The sequence below is a fragment of the Homo sapiens genome, chromosome 11 (genome assembly GCF_000001405.40).
Source record: "Homo sapiens chromosome 11, GRCh38.p14 Primary Assembly".
In the NCBI taxonomy this organism is placed as follows: Eukaryota; Metazoa; Chordata; class Mammalia; order Primates; family Hominidae; genus Homo; species Homo sapiens.
The window spans coordinates 30194853-30213051 of NC_000011.10; the positions used below are offsets into that span (position 1 = coordinate 30194853).

General features: G+C 39.6%; 1 long non-coding RNA gene across 7 annotated transcripts in view, besides 2 other annotated features; it reads right to left on the reverse strand.

The window, feature by feature from the left end:
* The window catches only part of ARL14EP-DT (ARL14EP divergent transcript), a 279977-nt gene that overhangs the window by 151883 nt on the left and 109895 nt on the right, over positions 1–18199 (reverse strand). The window lies entirely within an intron of this gene.
* Positions 2466–3665: an enhancer, noted in NCBI's record as "BRD4-independent group 4 enhancer chr11:30218865-30220064 (GRCh37/hg19 assembly coordinates)". NCBI's record gives its function as "activates an origin of replication core promoter dependent on BRD2, P300/CBP, MED14 and CDK7 cofactors, and independent of BRD4, by STARR-seq in HCT116 cells {active_cell/tissue: HCT116}" and the evidence as "EXISTENCE:reporter gene assay evidence [ECO:0000049][PMID:35650434]".
* Positions 11927–12006: an enhancer, noted in NCBI's record as "active region_4554". NCBI's record gives its function as "activates an Ori minimal core promoter by ATAC-STARR-seq in GM12878 lymphoblastoid cells {active_cell/tissue: GM12878}" and the evidence as "EXISTENCE:reporter gene assay evidence [ECO:0000049][PMID:35858748]".

The window sequence follows — 18199 nt, forward strand, 5'->3', positions numbered from 1 at the left end:
CTTTATGGACAGTAGGACTATATAACCTTTCTTCTGGTTCTAATGTTCCATAATAATACATCCTTCAAGACATAACTATATATAGGGAATGCTTGATATTACAGAGATATGAATCCCACCTATCCCTCCAGTTGCTCATCCACAGCTTTCTAAAGATAAAGTGTGGGTAAGTGTACCAGACTGCATTTCCCAAAAATTGCCACAACATCTCCCATGCCACATGTGCTTCTTACAAGGTGACATTGACAATTTTCCCATTGAGAGGCGTGACTTATGTTCCTTCCCCTTGAATCTGGGTAAGCTTGTGACTACAGATGGAGTATACTATGTGACTTCCAAGGCAAGATCATAAAAGGTGATACAACTTCTGTCTGGGTCTCTCAAGATACTCACTCTTGGATTCCAGCCACCATGCTGTGTAGAAGCCCAACAGTCACAAGGTGCTGCCATGTGTAAGTGTCCCACCAACAGCCCCAGCTGAGCTCCCAGCTCCTCCAGACATATGAGGGAAAGAGGCTCCAGATGATGCCAGCCAGCAAGTCACCCAGAGAGTCAGAGTCTTTCCAGCTCAGCATCCAGACATCATGGGACAGAGACAACTTGACCCTGCTGTGCCCTTTTCAAATTCCTGACCCACAGCATCTTGAGTGTCATATAATGGTTGTTCTTTTATGCCACTTTGTGAGGGGTGGTTTATTATGCAGCAATAGAAAATGATACAACAAGCAATAAGTTAGGCCTACATTTCTTACACGACTCTTAGAGAAACCCTAGGGTTCTGGGGGATACCACTAAGATTCCTAAGGAAAAATCATAAAGGCAGGGGTGAGGTAGTAGTTCTGTGGTCACTGCTATTATGTCTGCTTCTTGATCCCATTTATGCCTAGTGTTCCATTATTGGAATGCTAAGCATGTGGGAGTTATTTATTTCCTACTGCTCAAGGTCATCGCCAAGGTCTGATTGTAAAAATTCAAAAAATTGCAAACTCAGGCATAAATGGGTTAAAGATTGCCATTGTACAAGAGCAAATTAATAGTTTTGAGAAGTCCAGAAGGTACAACACAAAGCACCACTTATGGAATTCCCCAAACGGATTTGATAACGGACTCCTTTTGTTATAACACACAAAACTTCCCCAAAGAAACAACTGTTCTAGCATTCGTATTACAGTCTGAAACACTGGGATACATTAACTCAAACTCACCAAACCAAACTATCCCAAATGTTGGCCAATTATGTTGTTGCTAAGGCCCTGTACTCAGGAGGGACAGCCTTAAATAAGAAGCATTAAGCAGTCAGGTTGTGGTTGAAATGGCTCAGCCACTACATTGTGCTTCCCTTCAGCGGTTACTATAGGAAAGCTGCACCTGAGAGGTAAGAAGAGGAGGGCGGGAAGGCATTCAAAAGACCCTGTGCATGCATATTTTTGCACAGAGTGTGCACACCCCAGTTTTAGCTGTACTAATAGTAGCATGGGGCAAGGAATGGCAGGTCTACATGTGGTCAAGGAAAGGAAGGAAGGGAAAACAGAGAGAAACTTGCTCAAAGGGAGAAGGAATGCACTTTCAAACTGTGGATGCCCTTGTTTTTCTGCACAGCTCATTTTTATTTTAAAATTAGAACAATTCAATAGCCAGAGCTAGAAAGTGATCCTCAGATGGCCCAGAACAGTTAATCTTGGTTGCTTACAGGCAATGGCAGCCTTGGAATCAGTGAGCTGGTCTCACACTTGGGGCTTGAGGCTAAAGTGGCATTTTCAGTTCTCAGGTTTCTCATCCACTTATGTTATTAATGTTCTGCATCAAAACACCAGAGCCTTGCTCTTTCAGCGTGATTCAATGCTGATAGCCAGCAAGGTGGTATACAAGGTTATCCAGCATCTCGTTCACAGACCCTGGCTCACAACAAGGATTACCTCTGCTGTGGGTGTGCACCACTGCCACCTCGTGGCCACCTTCCCAAAGCTCACTCATTCCTCAACGTGGCCTTCCAAGAGTCCCGACTGCTGCGACTTTAAGGGGGTGAAATTCTCCAGGCCAAGAAAGGCAAAGTAAAATATCTTCAGCTTTATTTCAAAAATGGCCACCTGCTAGCACCTCAAGATTACCTTTAATTTAAAAATCAAGAGGCAGACCATATAGCAGAAAGCTCCTGGACTTTGTCTAAACAGAGCTGGATTTGGAGTTTAAAGATGGGTGGTTCTGAGCAAATCACTGTATACCTCAGAGGCTCTATTTCTTCTTAATATTTCCCTTCTTAAAACCAGGGAAATATTATATATTAAGAAGTATTGTAAACATTGTTAAATATATGTGTGTATACACAAGTTAATATACACATATATGTGTGTCCATATATATTATATATGTGTATCTAGAATATATTTGTATATGGAACAAAACATTTAACTTTCACAGTCAGTAAATTCAGTAAATGGATATTTGCAGTATGTGTATGATGTTTCAAGAACAGAAGGGGAACAAAAGCCACTGTCAATGTATTACTCTGCAAAAGAACTATGTGATCTTCAGTCTTTGGCATGGGGTGAGGGTAGAGAAGAACCAGGCTAACTACTGATGCATCATTCTCTTTACTTCCCACAGTAGATCTGTGACTTCAGTATAATTTTCCCCCATTTGAGGGATGAGTACATTGAGGCTTAATGAGGCTGAACCACTTGTGCATAGTTTATAGTCAGTAATAAATGGTGGTATCATGATTCTAGTCTAATTGGTCTGGCTCCAAAAAGTGAACTCCTAAAAATTTGACCTTTTAGAAAGTATATTAGGCAAACTACAGTATCCTAGGTAGTGAAAAAAGGTCAAAACTGATGAGAGCTCAAAACCCAGTTAGTGCAGGGTTTGCAATCTGAGTTCCGTAGAGAGGCCTTAGTTGTCCTGGTCACCTCACTCCTGTCATCATTCTCCGTATCAATGATTTACTGTCACAATGATGCTGAGTATCAAATGATCACAAAGCCCTAATGGCACAAAAACCAAAAAGCATTTGTTGATCACAGGTCTGAAGTCAACTGGATTTTGGCTGGGTAGTTTTAGTGATCTATCTGGGCTCACTCACATGTTTGAGGGAGGCTCAGTTGCTAGCTTATCTAGGATGCCCCAAAGGAAGATGACCAGGCAACTTAGATCTGCTCCTAGTTCTCTTATCCTCCGGCAGGCTAGCCTGGGCATGTTTCTAAGCAAGAGAAGAGGCACAAAAGCAAAGGCAAGTCCAGTCACGCAAATACTTTTTTCAACCTTCTGCAACATCCACTAACTGAAGAAAGTCACATGGCTGAGCCCAGAGTCAGTGGGAGGGCACTGCAAAGTCTATGGCTGTGTTAGTCTCCTGGGGTTGCCAAAACAATTACTACAAACTGGGTGACTTAAAACAATAGAGACTTCTTCTGTCCCAGTTCTGGAGGCTAGAAGTCCAAAATCAATGTGTCAGTAGGGTTGGTTCCTTCTGGGGTCTGTGAGAAGAATCTACTTCTCTCCAAATTTACAGTGGTTTCCTGTAATCCCTGGTGTTTTTTGACTTGTAGACACATCACTCCAATGCCTGCCTCCATCATCATATGATGTTCTCCCTATGTGTCTGCATCTCTGTTTTCTCATGGTATAAGGACATCAGTCACTGGATTAGAGACCACCCTAATCCAGGATGACTTCATCTTAACTAGCTGCAACCACAAAGGCCCTATTTCCAAATAAAGTTACATTTGGAGGCTCCATATAGACATAAATTCTGGCAGGACATTACTCAACCCAGAACAATGGCAAAGGGTATGGATACGGAAAAGAATGAGGAATTGAGTCCTTCTTGCATAAATCACACTATCACATTAGCTATAGAGTCTTCATGGTTTTCTATTTTATTTGAAGTGGATTTGCTACTTTAAAAATTTGAAAATTAATGGTCAAGAGAATTTTTTTCTTTAAGAGATGAAGAAAATGAAATCCAGGGCTAGAAAGTAGATGGCCCAATTTAATGGCAGAGCCAAGAACAAGACTCAAGCCTCAGGACACCAGATCATCTCTCCTTCCACAACTCTGCAATACTATACAAGGAAGCAGTTCCATTGCTGTTGCTCCTACTGTTGTTGTTTTATAATAGAGTAAAACATTGGGCACTGTGCTAGGTAGAAAAATGCCCTCTCCTCCACCTCTAAGATGTCCACATCTTGATCTTTGGAACCTGTGATTATGTTAGGTTACACAGCAAAGGGGAGTTAAGGTTGCCATCGGAATTAACATTGTTAATCAGATGGCCTTGAAATAGAGGAGATTATCCTGAATTATCTAGGTGGGTCAAATGTAATTGCAGTAATTCTTTTTTATTATTATTATTATACTTTAAGTTTTAGGGTACATGTGCACATTGTGCAGGTTAGTTACATATGTATACATGTGCCATGCTGGTGTGCTGCACCCATTAACTCGTCATCTAGCATTAGGTATATCTCCCAGTGCTATCCCTCCCCCCTCCCCCCACCCCACAACAGTCCCCAGAGTGTGATATTCCCCTTCCTGTGTCCATGTGATCTCATTGTTCAATTCCCACCTATGAGTAAGAATATGCGGTGTTTGGTTTTTTGTTCTTGTGATAGTTTACTAAGTATGATGATTTCCAGCTTCATCCATGTCCCTACAAAGGACATGAACTCATCATTTTTTATGGCTGCATAGTATTCCATGGTGTATATGTGCCATATTTTCTTAATCCAGTCTATCATTGTTGGACATTTGGGTTGGTTCCAAGTCTTTGCTATTGTGAATAATGCCTCAATAAACATACGTGTGCATGTGTCTTTATAGCAGCATGAATGGCAATCATTAAAAAGTCAGGAAACAACAGGTGTTGGAGAGGATGTGGAGAAATAGGAACACTTTTACACTGTTGGTGGGACTGTAAACTAGTTCAACCATTGTGGAAGTTAGTGTGGCGATTCCTCAGGGATCTAGAACTAGAAATACCATTTGACCCAGCCATCCCATTACTGGGTATATACCCAAAGGACTATAAATCATGCAGTAATTCTTAAAAGTAGATGAACAAGGCCAAATAGAAGCAATCAAAGGAAGATGTGGCCACAGAAGAGAGGCACAGAGAGATCGATGTTGCTGGCTTTGAAGATGGAGGAAGGGGGCCACAAGTCAAGGAATGTGGGTGACCTCTGAAAGCAGGAAAAAGCATGAAAACATTCTTCTAGAACCTCCAGAAAGTAACATCGCCCTGCCAACACATTGAATTTAGCCCACTGACACCATTTTGCACTTCTGGAACTGTAAGGTAGTAAGTTTGAGTTGTTTAAGACACTAAGTTTATGATATTTTGTTACAGCATCAGTAGAAAACTGATTTTAGGTAGAAATGCTTTTAGCTGCAAGTGTCAAAAAAACAAATAAACACAAAAAACTAGTGACCTCAATAACTATGGACTTATGATTTTCAATAACGAGAAGCTTGGAGTTAGTGGCATGGTAGTTCAGCTACTCAATGATGTTACGAACGACTCAGGTTCCCCATTCCCCGAAGACTCTCCATCTCTTTTGCCAATCTGACTTTATGTCTTACTGGAAACTGGGTTATACAGCTATACCTAGCTGCAAGGGAAGGTAGAAAGTCTAGTAAACAGTAATAGCATTATCAAGACTAGATCAGCCCAATCATAAATAATTGCTTGGAGCTGCGTATATTGCTGCCCTGAAACAAACTAGCAAGGACACGGGGAGATAAGGAGGTAAATAATCTTTGGCAAAGACATGGTCTAATATCTGCCTGACTCTGAGCAACCTACAAGTCACAAGGGTGTTGGGACAATTATTCATTTCTGCAAGCTCTACAAATCTAAATAGGGCACTTAAAACCAGTTGCATCCAAACAGAGGCATACTACATGTAAAGGGAAGAGGCTAGGGTACATGAATAAATCATGCATAAGAATTAGTACTTAAAATAGATATAAAGGATGAAAGTTACCATTACCGTTTATGAGATAAGGAGACTATCTCCTAGGCCAAGAGAGGTTAAGTGATGTGCCCAAACCCACCTAGTGGGCAAAAGTCTAAGTCCAGAATCTCCTGCTTTCTTCTTCTGCTTTCTTCTGGTTGCAAGAGTAAGTGGATAATCAGTGCTAGCTGGATGCTAGTAGTTTAGAACTTCACAAATCTCTCTCAGAGAGCATCTGAAGGAGGGCAGCCAAGCTGCTATTACTGTGGCCACTGATTGAGGCCAGTTCTGAGGACTGACAAAGGAAAGCATGGAAAGTGGTGTATGCTTTTTGTCCACTTACCACTGGAACTCTTGAATCAGGGTATGATTCCCCTTCTGCCAAAAATAGTTAAGCTTTGCATAATTGCAAACTCTACAGAAATTGAAGGCAATTTATATTCTTAGTTATAAAAACTAATCATTCCTTTTCCGTGGTGTGATGGCTAATTTTATGTCTCCACTTGACTGGGTTAAGGGATGCCCAGATAGCTGGTAAAACATTATTTCGGGCATGTCTGTCAAGGTCTTTTCAGAAGAGATTAGCATTTGAGTCCATAAACCGAGTAAAGATCCTCCCTCACTGATATAGTCAGGCATCATCCAATTCTTTGAGGGCTTGAATGAAACAAACGTCAAGAAAGGGCAAATGTACTCTCTTCTCTTGAGCTGGGACATCCACCTTCTGCCTTCGGATATCAGAACTCCTGGTTCTTACGCTTCACATTCCAGAACTTACACCACAAGCCCCCTGGTTCTCAAGCCCTTTGAACTCAGGTTGAATACCACTGACCTTCCAGGTTCTCCAGCTTACAGATGGCATATTGTGAGACTTCTTAGCTTCTATAATCCTAGGAGCCCATTCTCATGATAAATCCTCTTTTATATATCTATATCTAGATATCTAGATCTATCCTACCAGTTCTGTTTCTCTGGAGAACCCTGACTAATATACCTGATATCAAAGAGTTATTTCAGGATTATGATCACTTCCAAGAGGGAAGGAAAAAGAATGGGATCAAAAGAACTCCATAGAGACTGTCAAGTAAAACTGTAATGTTTCATCTTTCAGAAAAATAAAACACCTGTATAAAAAACAAAACTGGCACAATATTAAGAAATATAAAACTAGTTGATGGGTATAAAGGGTTTTTTTATAGTACACTCTTTTCTACATACTTAAGGTATCTCCTTATTGGGAAATATTACAAATAAGAAGATAATCTAAACTCCACAATAAAAAGGAGGTTGTATTTATGCATTAAGTATGTGTGTGTTGGTGCTGGCTATGAGCTAGGCACTCTTCTAGAAGCTAAATACCTGCAAAGTCACTACCCTCATGGAGATTACATTCTAGGCAAGGCAGACAGAAATAAAACAAATTCACTTCAGTAAATGTTAAATAGTCTGAAGGAATAAAACAAAGGAATGTGATAAAAGTGACCCAGAAGATGTTTTCTATGAGGTGGACCGAAAGACAAACATCACTGAGGAGGTAGCATTTGTTCTGAGATGTGAACAATAAATCAAGTCATTCAAAAAATAAGAATAGTACTCCACAAAAAACAATCAGAAAATGCAAAGGCCTGGAGACCTTTTAATACTGCAAGAACCAATAACTAGCCCAAGGCATAGCAAGTAAGGTGATGAGAGATGCGATTAGAAAGACAGTTGTGAGGGCTTTGTGGTCATGGCAAGACATGTAGATTTTATTTGAAATGCAATGGGCTGCCAATGGATGGAGGGCTGAGGGAAGGGGTTGTAAGGAAGGGAACAAGAACATATTTTACATTAATATGTTATAATCATTTTTTAATAGCACTCTGCTCAATGGGCAATTCAGGAAAAGCAAGAAAAAACAGGTACATGATAATAGGCTATAGTAGTAATTCAAGCAAGAGATGACGCTGGCTTGGAAACAAATCTTAGATTTCTTGTACAGACTTACAAGTCTGACATATGAGAAGGTTAAAGAATAGTATGATAGTAACTTATCATGTTTCCCAGAAAAAAAAATGCATATTCTTTACATGGCAGAAGGTTGGGAAATATTTATATGAATGTGATGAGATTTCAGGTGACTTTATTATCTTCTCTAGATGATTATTTATATATTCTTACTTTTTTTTAATTGACCAGACGTTATTTCTGATTTCCAAATCAGTACAATGTCCAGGAAATCATAATACCCTCTTCCATCTGGCTGTCTTGACAAATGCCTTAGAGAGAGTTCTACTTACTGGCCCTTAGACTCGAACTTTGGACTTCATCCCTATGAGTGCCTGATTTTCACGGCCTGGGAGGGAGGTGATGGTAGGGCTTCATATTTATTTATTTATTTATTTATTTATTTATTTATTTATTTATTTTTGAGATGGAGTCTTGCTCTTTCACCAGGCTGGAGTGCAGTGACATGATCTCAGCTCACTGCTACCTCCACTTCCCGGGTTCAAGTGATTCCTCTGCCTCAGCCTCCCAAGTAACTGGGACTACAGGCACGCACCACCACGCCCAGCTAATTTTTGTATTTTTAGTAGAGACGGGATTTCACCATGTTGGTCAGGATGCTCAATCTCTCAACCTAGTGATCTTCCCACCTTGGCCTCCCAAACTACTGGGATTACAGGTGTGAGCCACCGTGCCTGGCCACGGCTTAATTTTAAATATGTTAAGTGTAAGATGTCCACATTGGTTTGCTAGGGCTGCCGTAACAAAGTACCACATATTGAGTGGCTTAAACCACAGAAATTATTTTTCTCACAATTCTAAAGGCTAGAAGTGCAAGAACAAAGGAATCTTCTGAGGCCTCTCTCCTTGGCTTGTAGATGGCCACCTTCTCCCTGTGTCTTTACATGATCTTTCCTATTTGTGTGTCTGTGTCCTAATCTCTTCTTCTTCTAAGAGCACCAGTCATATTTGATTAGGGCCAGCTAACGACCTTAGTTTAACTTAATTACCTCTTTAAAGAACCTATTTCCAAATATAGTCACATTCAGAGGTAATAGAGATTAGGACTTCAACATACAAATATGGGGGGTAGGGTGGACACAGTTCAGCCCATAACAAAGTCTACCCATGCTGGGCAGGTGGAGGAAGATTTTTAAAGGTTATCAGAAACATGACTCTGCAGTTCAGTTTAGTACACTTGCTGGGAGGTAAATGCGTTAGAGTCTTTCATCTATAAATATGAATGAGCTCACCCTAGGAGAGCTCATAGCATGAGAAAAGTCAATGACAGAAGGAAGCAGAAGGAAAAAGCCTGAGAAAGAGATAGACAAGCTGTGGGCCAAGCAGCAGGAGGAAGACTAGAAGAGAATAAGGACATGCAAGTTTCAAGAAGGGTGGTCAACAGTGTCAAACTGCAGGTCCTGAAAATGTACCCTACAAACAACCCATCTAAGGCCCCTCTTGGATGAAACTTCCAACCTCAGCTCAAACCTCCCACCATGGCTTCCACTGGCAATAAAACAAAATGTAAGCTCAGCCTATCATCCAAGGCCCTCCAGAGTATGATTCTAATTCCCTTTTAAACTTTATGTACCTTTAGTACCCTTCAGCATCCTTCAGCATTAGTGACACAGCATTGTTCCCTAGCTCTGACCCAAAGCTCTGTGGTCTCTTCCTTTTGTGCATGTTACCCCCTCACACAGGAATGCCCTTCCCATTCATCCTGCACACCCTTCAAGGACACCAAAACCCTTAGCAATTTTTCTATACCAAGTTGATTTCTGCATATGTCTATCTGCTGCACTGGGCTGTGGACTCTTTAGGGAAAATCTTGTCTGCTATTTATCGTTGGCACCTCTTGAAGCCTGCCATGGTTCCTGGTACCTAGCAGGTGCTCAAAAAATGGCTTTTTGAATCAATGAACTAATGCTGTTTTGCTCCAAACAGAATTAAATAATAATCCAGCAGCTGACATTTGAAAATGTCGATGCTATTGACTCACCTGTTTGGGGGAAGGGATAAGTTTTCTTTGATGACTTAGTGGCTTTCACATCTGTCAGACGTGTCGTATCCCCTTTAATGGTGGTTGCTTATTACAAGGAGAAACAGTTACTCAGGATTCAGGTAGTTTTGTACAGTGGATTATTATGTCTAGAATTTAATAGCACTCTGCTCTTTGATATTTATTTCAGGGTCAATAGAAATGTAACCATTCTCACTCCCTATTTGTGTTCAATCTAACCATTTAGCAGGAGGATTAGACCTGCCACACACTGGGTTTTGAAGATTTAAGAATGATTTGTTTGATTTTGATGCTATGTTTCCCAAATACATTCACAGGCAATAATTACATTATTAATATTTTAATCTTTTGAAAGTGTTAACATTCTTCTTAACATGTTAATCTCTGAATATTGAGGATGATGTGTGTATCAGGTTGTTGGCTTGTGTACAAATTTTTTTCTACAATGTTTTAGGGTGATTATGTGTAGAAATAACATAGGGTACTGCTTCCTTCAAGGCCTTTATCAAAATCAAATTGGAATTCTATCGTGAAGAAAGGGTGTTAAGGCATTCACTACTGTAATATGTTCTGTATGATATTGTTCAAAACCTTTCTGTGTCCATTGACACAGGTGACAATGCTTTGAGATAGTTTGGCTACAGTTATTGTCACCATTTTCTTACAAAAACCTTAGATACAAAGAAAGTTTATTTATTTTTCAGAGACAGGGTCTCCTCTGTCACCCAAGCTGGAGTGCAGTGGCATGATCACAGCTCGCTGTAGCCTCAAACTCCTGGGCTCAAGTGATCCTCCCACCTCAGTCTCACAAGTAGCTGGGACCACAGGTGCATGCAGCCATGCCTGGCTAATTTTTATATTTTTTGTAAAGAAGAGGCTTGACTATATTGTCTAGGCTGGTCTCAAACTCGTGGGCTCAAGCAATCCTCCCACCTCTCAGCCTCCCAAAGTGCTGGGATTACAGGCATGAGCCACTGCACCTGGCCAATGTTGCTGTTATTATTATCATCATTACTACATTCTAGGCTATATTTGTACTCTTAGAACAATGTTATAAGGGTATTAAGGATAAATTAGTCAAATGTCTTCCTTGTATGAATTTTATATAAACTAGGATCATGAAATATAATTAACTAATTGATGATATTCTAGAAGATAGAGTATTTAGATGCTCCGGAACTGGAATTCAATCAACTGTGAGAATTAAAATATCCAGTCTCCTCAATGTAATAGAGACAAATTCTCTAGTGGAAATGGTTCAGCAAGGATTTATTAAAACTTTTCTATAGGAGAAAAAGGCTCAGAGGATTTCACCATAAGTAGAAAATATGTAGAATCAAACTTAAACCTGAAGGCTTTGATCTTTCCTTTATAAAATTCAGCAGAAGTCCTTTCAAGAAATGTAATCCATTTTAAATATTTACCAAACCTTATTCTCAGCTGAAATGGGTGTCAAATCTCAAATTAGAAAGTCTCCTTTTTGGTTCTGGTCCCTTTGGATTTGGTTGCAGCATTTCCTATTATCTGTACTATAAAGAGAAGAGCCTTAGCACAAAAAGCTTCACTATCAGTGATGGAAATTGACAAATCAGTGAAAGAAAAACAAGGCAGCCAAAGAGGAAGTGGATCTCCTGTGTGTTCTTTAAAGGGGAAAACCACTTTTTTGACTATTAAGAACACAATGAAAGTAAAGCCTTAAGACAATATTTCCACCACAGACACAAGGGATGAATATTAAGCCTCTATTATGAGCCAGATAATACATATATCCTATGAATCTATCTTCACATAACCTTATAACAAAAGAATATTATTTCTCATCAATCTAAAATGCTTCAGAGACTCAGAGAAGTGAGTGGCCTGTGGTCACACAGCTAGTGAAACACAAAAGTGAATTTCAGTCCCAAAACCTGAATCCCCTCAGATACCTCAGGCTGTCCTTTTTCAACTGCTCAACAAAAGTTTACAGAAGTGCATCATTTTAAGCCGATTAGGAAACAGCTGGAGAAACGATAATATATAGATTCTACTCTCTGGGTGTTTATAGCCCCAGAAGACAGAACAGCAAATGTGTTAAGACAGCCGTGAGAAGACTAAAAAAAGGAAGCCACAGAAGAGCAGCCGAAACTCATACCTGCTCGGTCATTACAGGTCTCAAAAGGGATTGCACTTTCAAAGACACATCTGTGACACCATATAGATTTATAAGTATGCAAACTGAGAAAACATCATGAATTAATTTCATTAGCAGAACCCCAGAAATTCCATCCCTAAGCGGCCACCTAGGGTTGATCTCTAGGCATTTTTGAATTTTACTTATTTACTTTTTTGAGATAAAAACATTTTGCCTTTAATAATCTTTAAGGTATCGACTCTATTATTCCCTACACTTATGGTATTATAGTTTTCCACATTAGTTAGCAAGGTTAATTTATTAAAATACAATAAAAATTTATTGCCTACTAAATACATAATATTAATTATAAAACCAGTACCTACAGAGTTACCAACCCAGTATGGATTGCAGAATAAGGATGAGAAGAAGGTAATTGAATGACTACCAACCATGTTTTAAAACACAAAGACAACTTTCTTCTCAGAGATACCTGTTAACCTTCAACATCTCAGTTAAGTTTTAAAGGATACTGTTCTGTTTTGGTTAAAGAAAAGTATAGATTCATACAACTGTATCTTAAGCTTCAGACAAATTAGAATTAACTGCTTTATAATTTCTCCTACATTGGCACACCAGCCAGAATAATGAGGGCTGATGCTATGCTGAAATTAGAGTGAATCTAAAATCATAAGTCACAAAGAGTTTTTACAGTCTATAAATTGTCTCTTTTCCTGTCACGCCTACCCCATATGCAGTCACCATCATAGTAAACTATCATTCACAGTAAACTATCATTTTTCCTACCATGTTCTTTTATCTCAGTCAGGATGATAGGATTTTCAATTCTTCTGTCTTCATCCATCATCAAAACTTTATTGGGCTCCTGCTATGTGCTAGGCAACATACCATGAGCTGGAAATACCGGAAAAAGAATGAAAGGACCCATCTTCTCCCAGATATATACTAACTGTTTACCCCAAGAGCAAATCTCCTTGCTTAAATAGTAGTAGCAAGAGATGAGTAAAGTGGTTAAGCTAGCCTAGGAATGGCAAATAAGATAGCTCAGCAAAGCAATTAGGAGCCCTGGAGTCAGATTGTTGACACTCAAATCTTGATTCCACCTAGTTGTTTGACCTTGAACAAGTCACTAAAGTCTTCTGTGCCTGTCTCCTCATCATTAAAATATAAATAATAATAGTACTTAGCACATATCATTGTTCCAGGATTTAAAAAGAGAATACATGTTGATTACTTAGAATAATTTCTAGCACATAAATGTTCCATAAATGTTGGTGTGTCTTTCTTGCTAAGCTGATTAGTACTTATAACTAGTTGGGGTTTTAGGGGTACAGACATGATAAATAGGGATGCAAAATATTTATTAGAGAGTGATACCTGTAAAGGAAAATGAAGAAAAGGAAGGAATGGGCAGGGAGAGTGATCTTTACTTGCCTATCTGGGAGCTCTGGAGGACAGATTGTCCTTTAGAGGTGTCCCACATTGGAGAGAAATGGCTGGGTCCTTGCACCACAGCCCTGCTCAAGCATTGGAAAGGAGATGCCCATGGAAGAACCTCAACTCAAAAGCCGAGACAGATCCTGAAGGACCTAATAGCTGAAGGCTGCTAGTAACTCTACTCTTGGCAGGTAGGCAGCAAGTCCTTTCCCAAAGGGAGACCTGAGCATGCGTCTCCCTCCATCTTGGCTACAGGGGTTATTGTCTGGTGTGTTGGCCTGGAAGGGTTCTCAGGAAGTGTTGAGATTCAATGGACAAAGGCAAGTGGAGACATCATGATTGACTGAGACGTCAACCACAGGCCTTGAGCAAGAAGGAGAAGCCTACTTGCAGGAATTGGTTCTACTAGAACAGATTGTCTCAAAAGCTCCCCCACCTCTGACAAGCCCTGTTCTCTATTCCTTCTCCAGTAGTTTCTCTAAGACCCCAAGGATGGCAGAAGGGCCCGGACGCTAGGACCCTTCCTGCTTCCTAAACACTGTACTGCATATACCATGCTCTTCTGAGGGAGGAGTTACAGAATCCTAGAGTATCACCCAAGCTCCACCCTCAGCCTTGGCTATGTGTGCTCTTCCTGGTACCTCTTCTAAGGGCCAGAAATTCTCAGATGCATTCGGTGTCAGTCCACACCTGGAAGAGCCAGAGCTTGACATAGACAGAGCACCACTAATTATTTGCACCCCACTTTATTCCAAAATGGATTTACAGAATCTTCAAAAACAGTATACTGGCTCAGGAGATAGAGACCATCCTGGCTAACAAGGTGAAAACCCGTCTCTACTAAAAATACAAAAAATTAGCTGGGCATGGTGGCACACACCTATAGTTCCAGCTACTCAGGAGGCTGAGGGAAGAGAATCACTTGAACCCGGGAAGCGGATGTTGCAGTGAGCCGAGATCGCACCACGGCACTCCAGCCTGGGTGACAGAGTGAGACTCCATCTCAAAAAAAAAAAAAAAAAAAAAAGTATACCTAGGTGAATTCGTCTAATAAGGACTTTTATCTAAATTAATGGTATACAAGTGAAGGGAAACTAACAAAATATAGGCAGTGCAAATGTGGGGAAAGTTTCTGCAGAAAAATGGCTTTGGATAAAAGTAAAATGCTATCAGGGAACAAAGTCAGAATTATCATCTCAAATAGGTAATAGATAATTTAAACACTTGGGTATTTTCTTGTTTTGCAACTGTGCTCTCAGCAGTAGGAATCTGTGATTTAGTAATAGGGCTCATTTTTGCTGTCCATCGCATTTCATTTATGGATAGGCACAGTGAGCCTCCAGGTTGTGGCGGCTGCGTGTTCAGCTGCACCTGCCAGAGAGCAGGAAGGCTGAGCAGCTGATGGCAATATCTAGTTCTATCTCTCACCTGGTGGCAGCCACCTGCACTGGGGTAAATCTCCTAGGAAAAACTAGAAGTCTTAATTGCAGTTTTAAAGTCTTAAACCTCAGAACTCCAAGTATACAAAGGAAATAAGACAGCCTCTGATGTTGCTACCTGAATTTCTGATTCCAAATGCCAGTTTACATTTTAAAGAATATTTCTTTGTGAAGTCTAACTCTCATGGTCATAAGCAGTGCCTAGAATGGATCTGGTTTATCAGTTCAGTAAATGCTTGCTGACTGTTCAAGAAATAACAAGGCAAAACTGTTCCCCATCCTTGAAGTTCATGAAACAGGTTTGTTAAGTTTAAGACCAACACTCGTCATATATTATATGTTGGTCCTAATGTCCTGTTAATGAGTTTGAATCACGGGTATACCTTGCCCTTTTCCCCCTTACTCACCACCCTCATCTATCTAAACCATCATCAACATCTCACTGCCTCTCGAGCCCGTTAGGACACCTCCCCTTGATTTCTGTTCTCTAAAGCCTTTGATAACAACCTAGCACAGTCAAAACAGAGGTGCCAGGGCCTTCAGATTGGGCTTCCCACCCATCACCTCACCTTGGAAATTTAGACTGCAACTTACTTCAAAGGTCAAGAATGCAAATGGCCTGGAGGTGAGCTTTGGGATAGTTCCAACTAAACTGCTAATTGGATTCCTTCAAAATGCTACAGTCATGGTCGTCTTTCCCATTTCCAGGCAACAAAGTACCAGGGAATGCTCAGTGACTCATCCTCTGCAGCTGATTCGAAGGCACCTGAGCACCTCAGGCTGAACAGGTGGGGTCTGTCTTCTGTAATTTACTTGATAGAGCTCTTTGCATAGTCAAGTGCTAGAGGAAATGAAAACTACAGACATTAGTTCTCAAGCACCTTCTGAAGAAACCCAGGGATGACCTCAGCTACATGTTTGATACCAAGAAACTGGGTTTTAAAGGCCTTTCAGCTTTGTTTCCTGGCAGTCTTCTTGTTCTAAGATGTCCTTGAAGATCACACTCCACCTCTCCCCTGAACATATATACCCAGGTACCTATTAGAAAATATCTGTGAACATCTTTGGAGAAGGCTGCTGTGACCCTTCTCCTGACCCTAGGGATTGGTTGCTCCTTTCTCTGTGATTTTATAGCAGGCAGAACATCCTGTAGCCCATATCATATTGCATTATTATCTGTTATCCATGTATTTCTCTATCTTGATGGATTATAACTTTCCCAAAAGCAGGTACCAAGTATTGCTCGTCTTAACCTAGCACATGGTAATCTAGTCGAATTGAATTTTAACTCATTTCCATTGACTCATTAAAAGAAAATTATGAAGAAAATGACTTATATTTGGCTATATTAAAATTCTTTATTAAAATAAATGTAATTCTTTTGCACATGTAAAAGTGACCAAATGAGACGAACCAACAATTCTCCAAAGAAATGCAAATAAACAAATGAGAAAATGTTCACTAGTTGTTATGAAAAAATGCCAACTATAATTTTTTATCTCACAAACTGGCAAATATACACGCATGTATACATGCACTCAAATTGATGAAATTAAGATGACAAGCACCCTCCTATATGCTGCTGAAAATTTACAGTGACTATCTTAAAAGAATATATATTTTCCTGTAAGCACAAGATGGAGAGAAAAAAAGTATATATGTATATATGTGTATATATATGTATGTGTATTTATATATATAATATATATATCCCCATAGTAGATGTAGATATGGATATGGATAATAATATGGGCATAAATGTGTGTGTGTATATATATATTATATATATATATGTGTATATATATATATATATCTTCCTGCAATCCTACCTCTAGTAATGTGACCTAAAGAAAAAATCAGAAATGCAGATGAAGAATAAGGTAGTAAGGATGTTTACAATATTCCTTGTAATCATGAAAAACAAATGAAAATAACTTGTTTAATCATAAGAAAGTGGTTAGATCAGCCAAAGTTCATCCAACAATAGAAAATAAGTTTTATAAAAATATTCAATAACATGGATAACAGTTCATGATAAAATGTTAAATTTAAAAAGTGCAGGGGCCTGACACAGTGGCTCACTCCTGTAATCCCAGCACTTTGGGAGGCCGAGGCAGGCAGATCGCTTGAGGTCAGGAGTTCGAGACCAGCCCGGCCAACATGGTGAATCCTCATCTCTACAGAAATACAAAAATTAGCTAGTGTGATGGCGGGTGCCTGTAATCTCAGCTACTTGGGAAGCTGAGGCAGGAGAATTGCTTGAACTGGGGAGGCGGAGGTTCCAGTGAGCCAAGATGATGCCACTGCACTCCAGCCCTGGTGACAGAGTGAAACTCCATCTCAAAAAAATAAAAATAAATAAATAAAATAAAATAAAAGTGCAAGAAAAATTATTTTTCAAAGAGAAGGAAAGTAGTCAATAGTGAAATGATATGTGAAAGTCATGTAAGAGAAAGCCTAAAAAGTGAATAGCATATCAATTTGGCAATTTAGAAGGTTAAACATACTCAAAGTATTTTTTTCTTTGTCTATACCTTTAAAAAGAGCTGGTTGTTTTCTGAGTGTTTAACCTGCTCCTGTGTTCTCTGAAAACCAGATGCAGAGAGAGTGTAAACAATGATGTGAGATAAGGGTTTACGTCTTGATTCTACCACACATTATCTTGAGACCTTGGATACATTACTTCAGCATTGATCCTCACAAAGAATCTAGCATAGTAACTAATAAATATGAGACAATCTTTTTTCTTTTCTTTTCTTGTATATTCAATACATTTATAATTACTAGTCCCATTATCAGCTCCTGCTAACTGGACATTAACCAGGTGAACTTAATCCTTGATCATATTTAATAGGACAAGATTAACTGACCCTAGAGGAGGCACATTCATAAACTTATCTAAACATTTCTTTTCACCTGAAAATCTGTATAAGAGATGGAAATTCCAGCAATTGGAAGAAAGTGGGCTAAAATATCAGCATATAGACTTGGAGCCGATATCACAGAGTCATGTACAGGATAAAACGCAATGAAAGCCCACTAAGAGAGAAGAGTAGGAACAGGTATGAAAAAAAAGGAGTGAGGGGAGTGACTGTATTAGTTTTCCATTGCTGCTGTAACAAATTATCACAACCTTGGTGACTAAAGCATCATACATTTATTATCCTACAGTTCTGGAGCTCAGAAGTTAAAAATAGGTCTCACTGTGCTAAATTCAATGTCTTGGCAG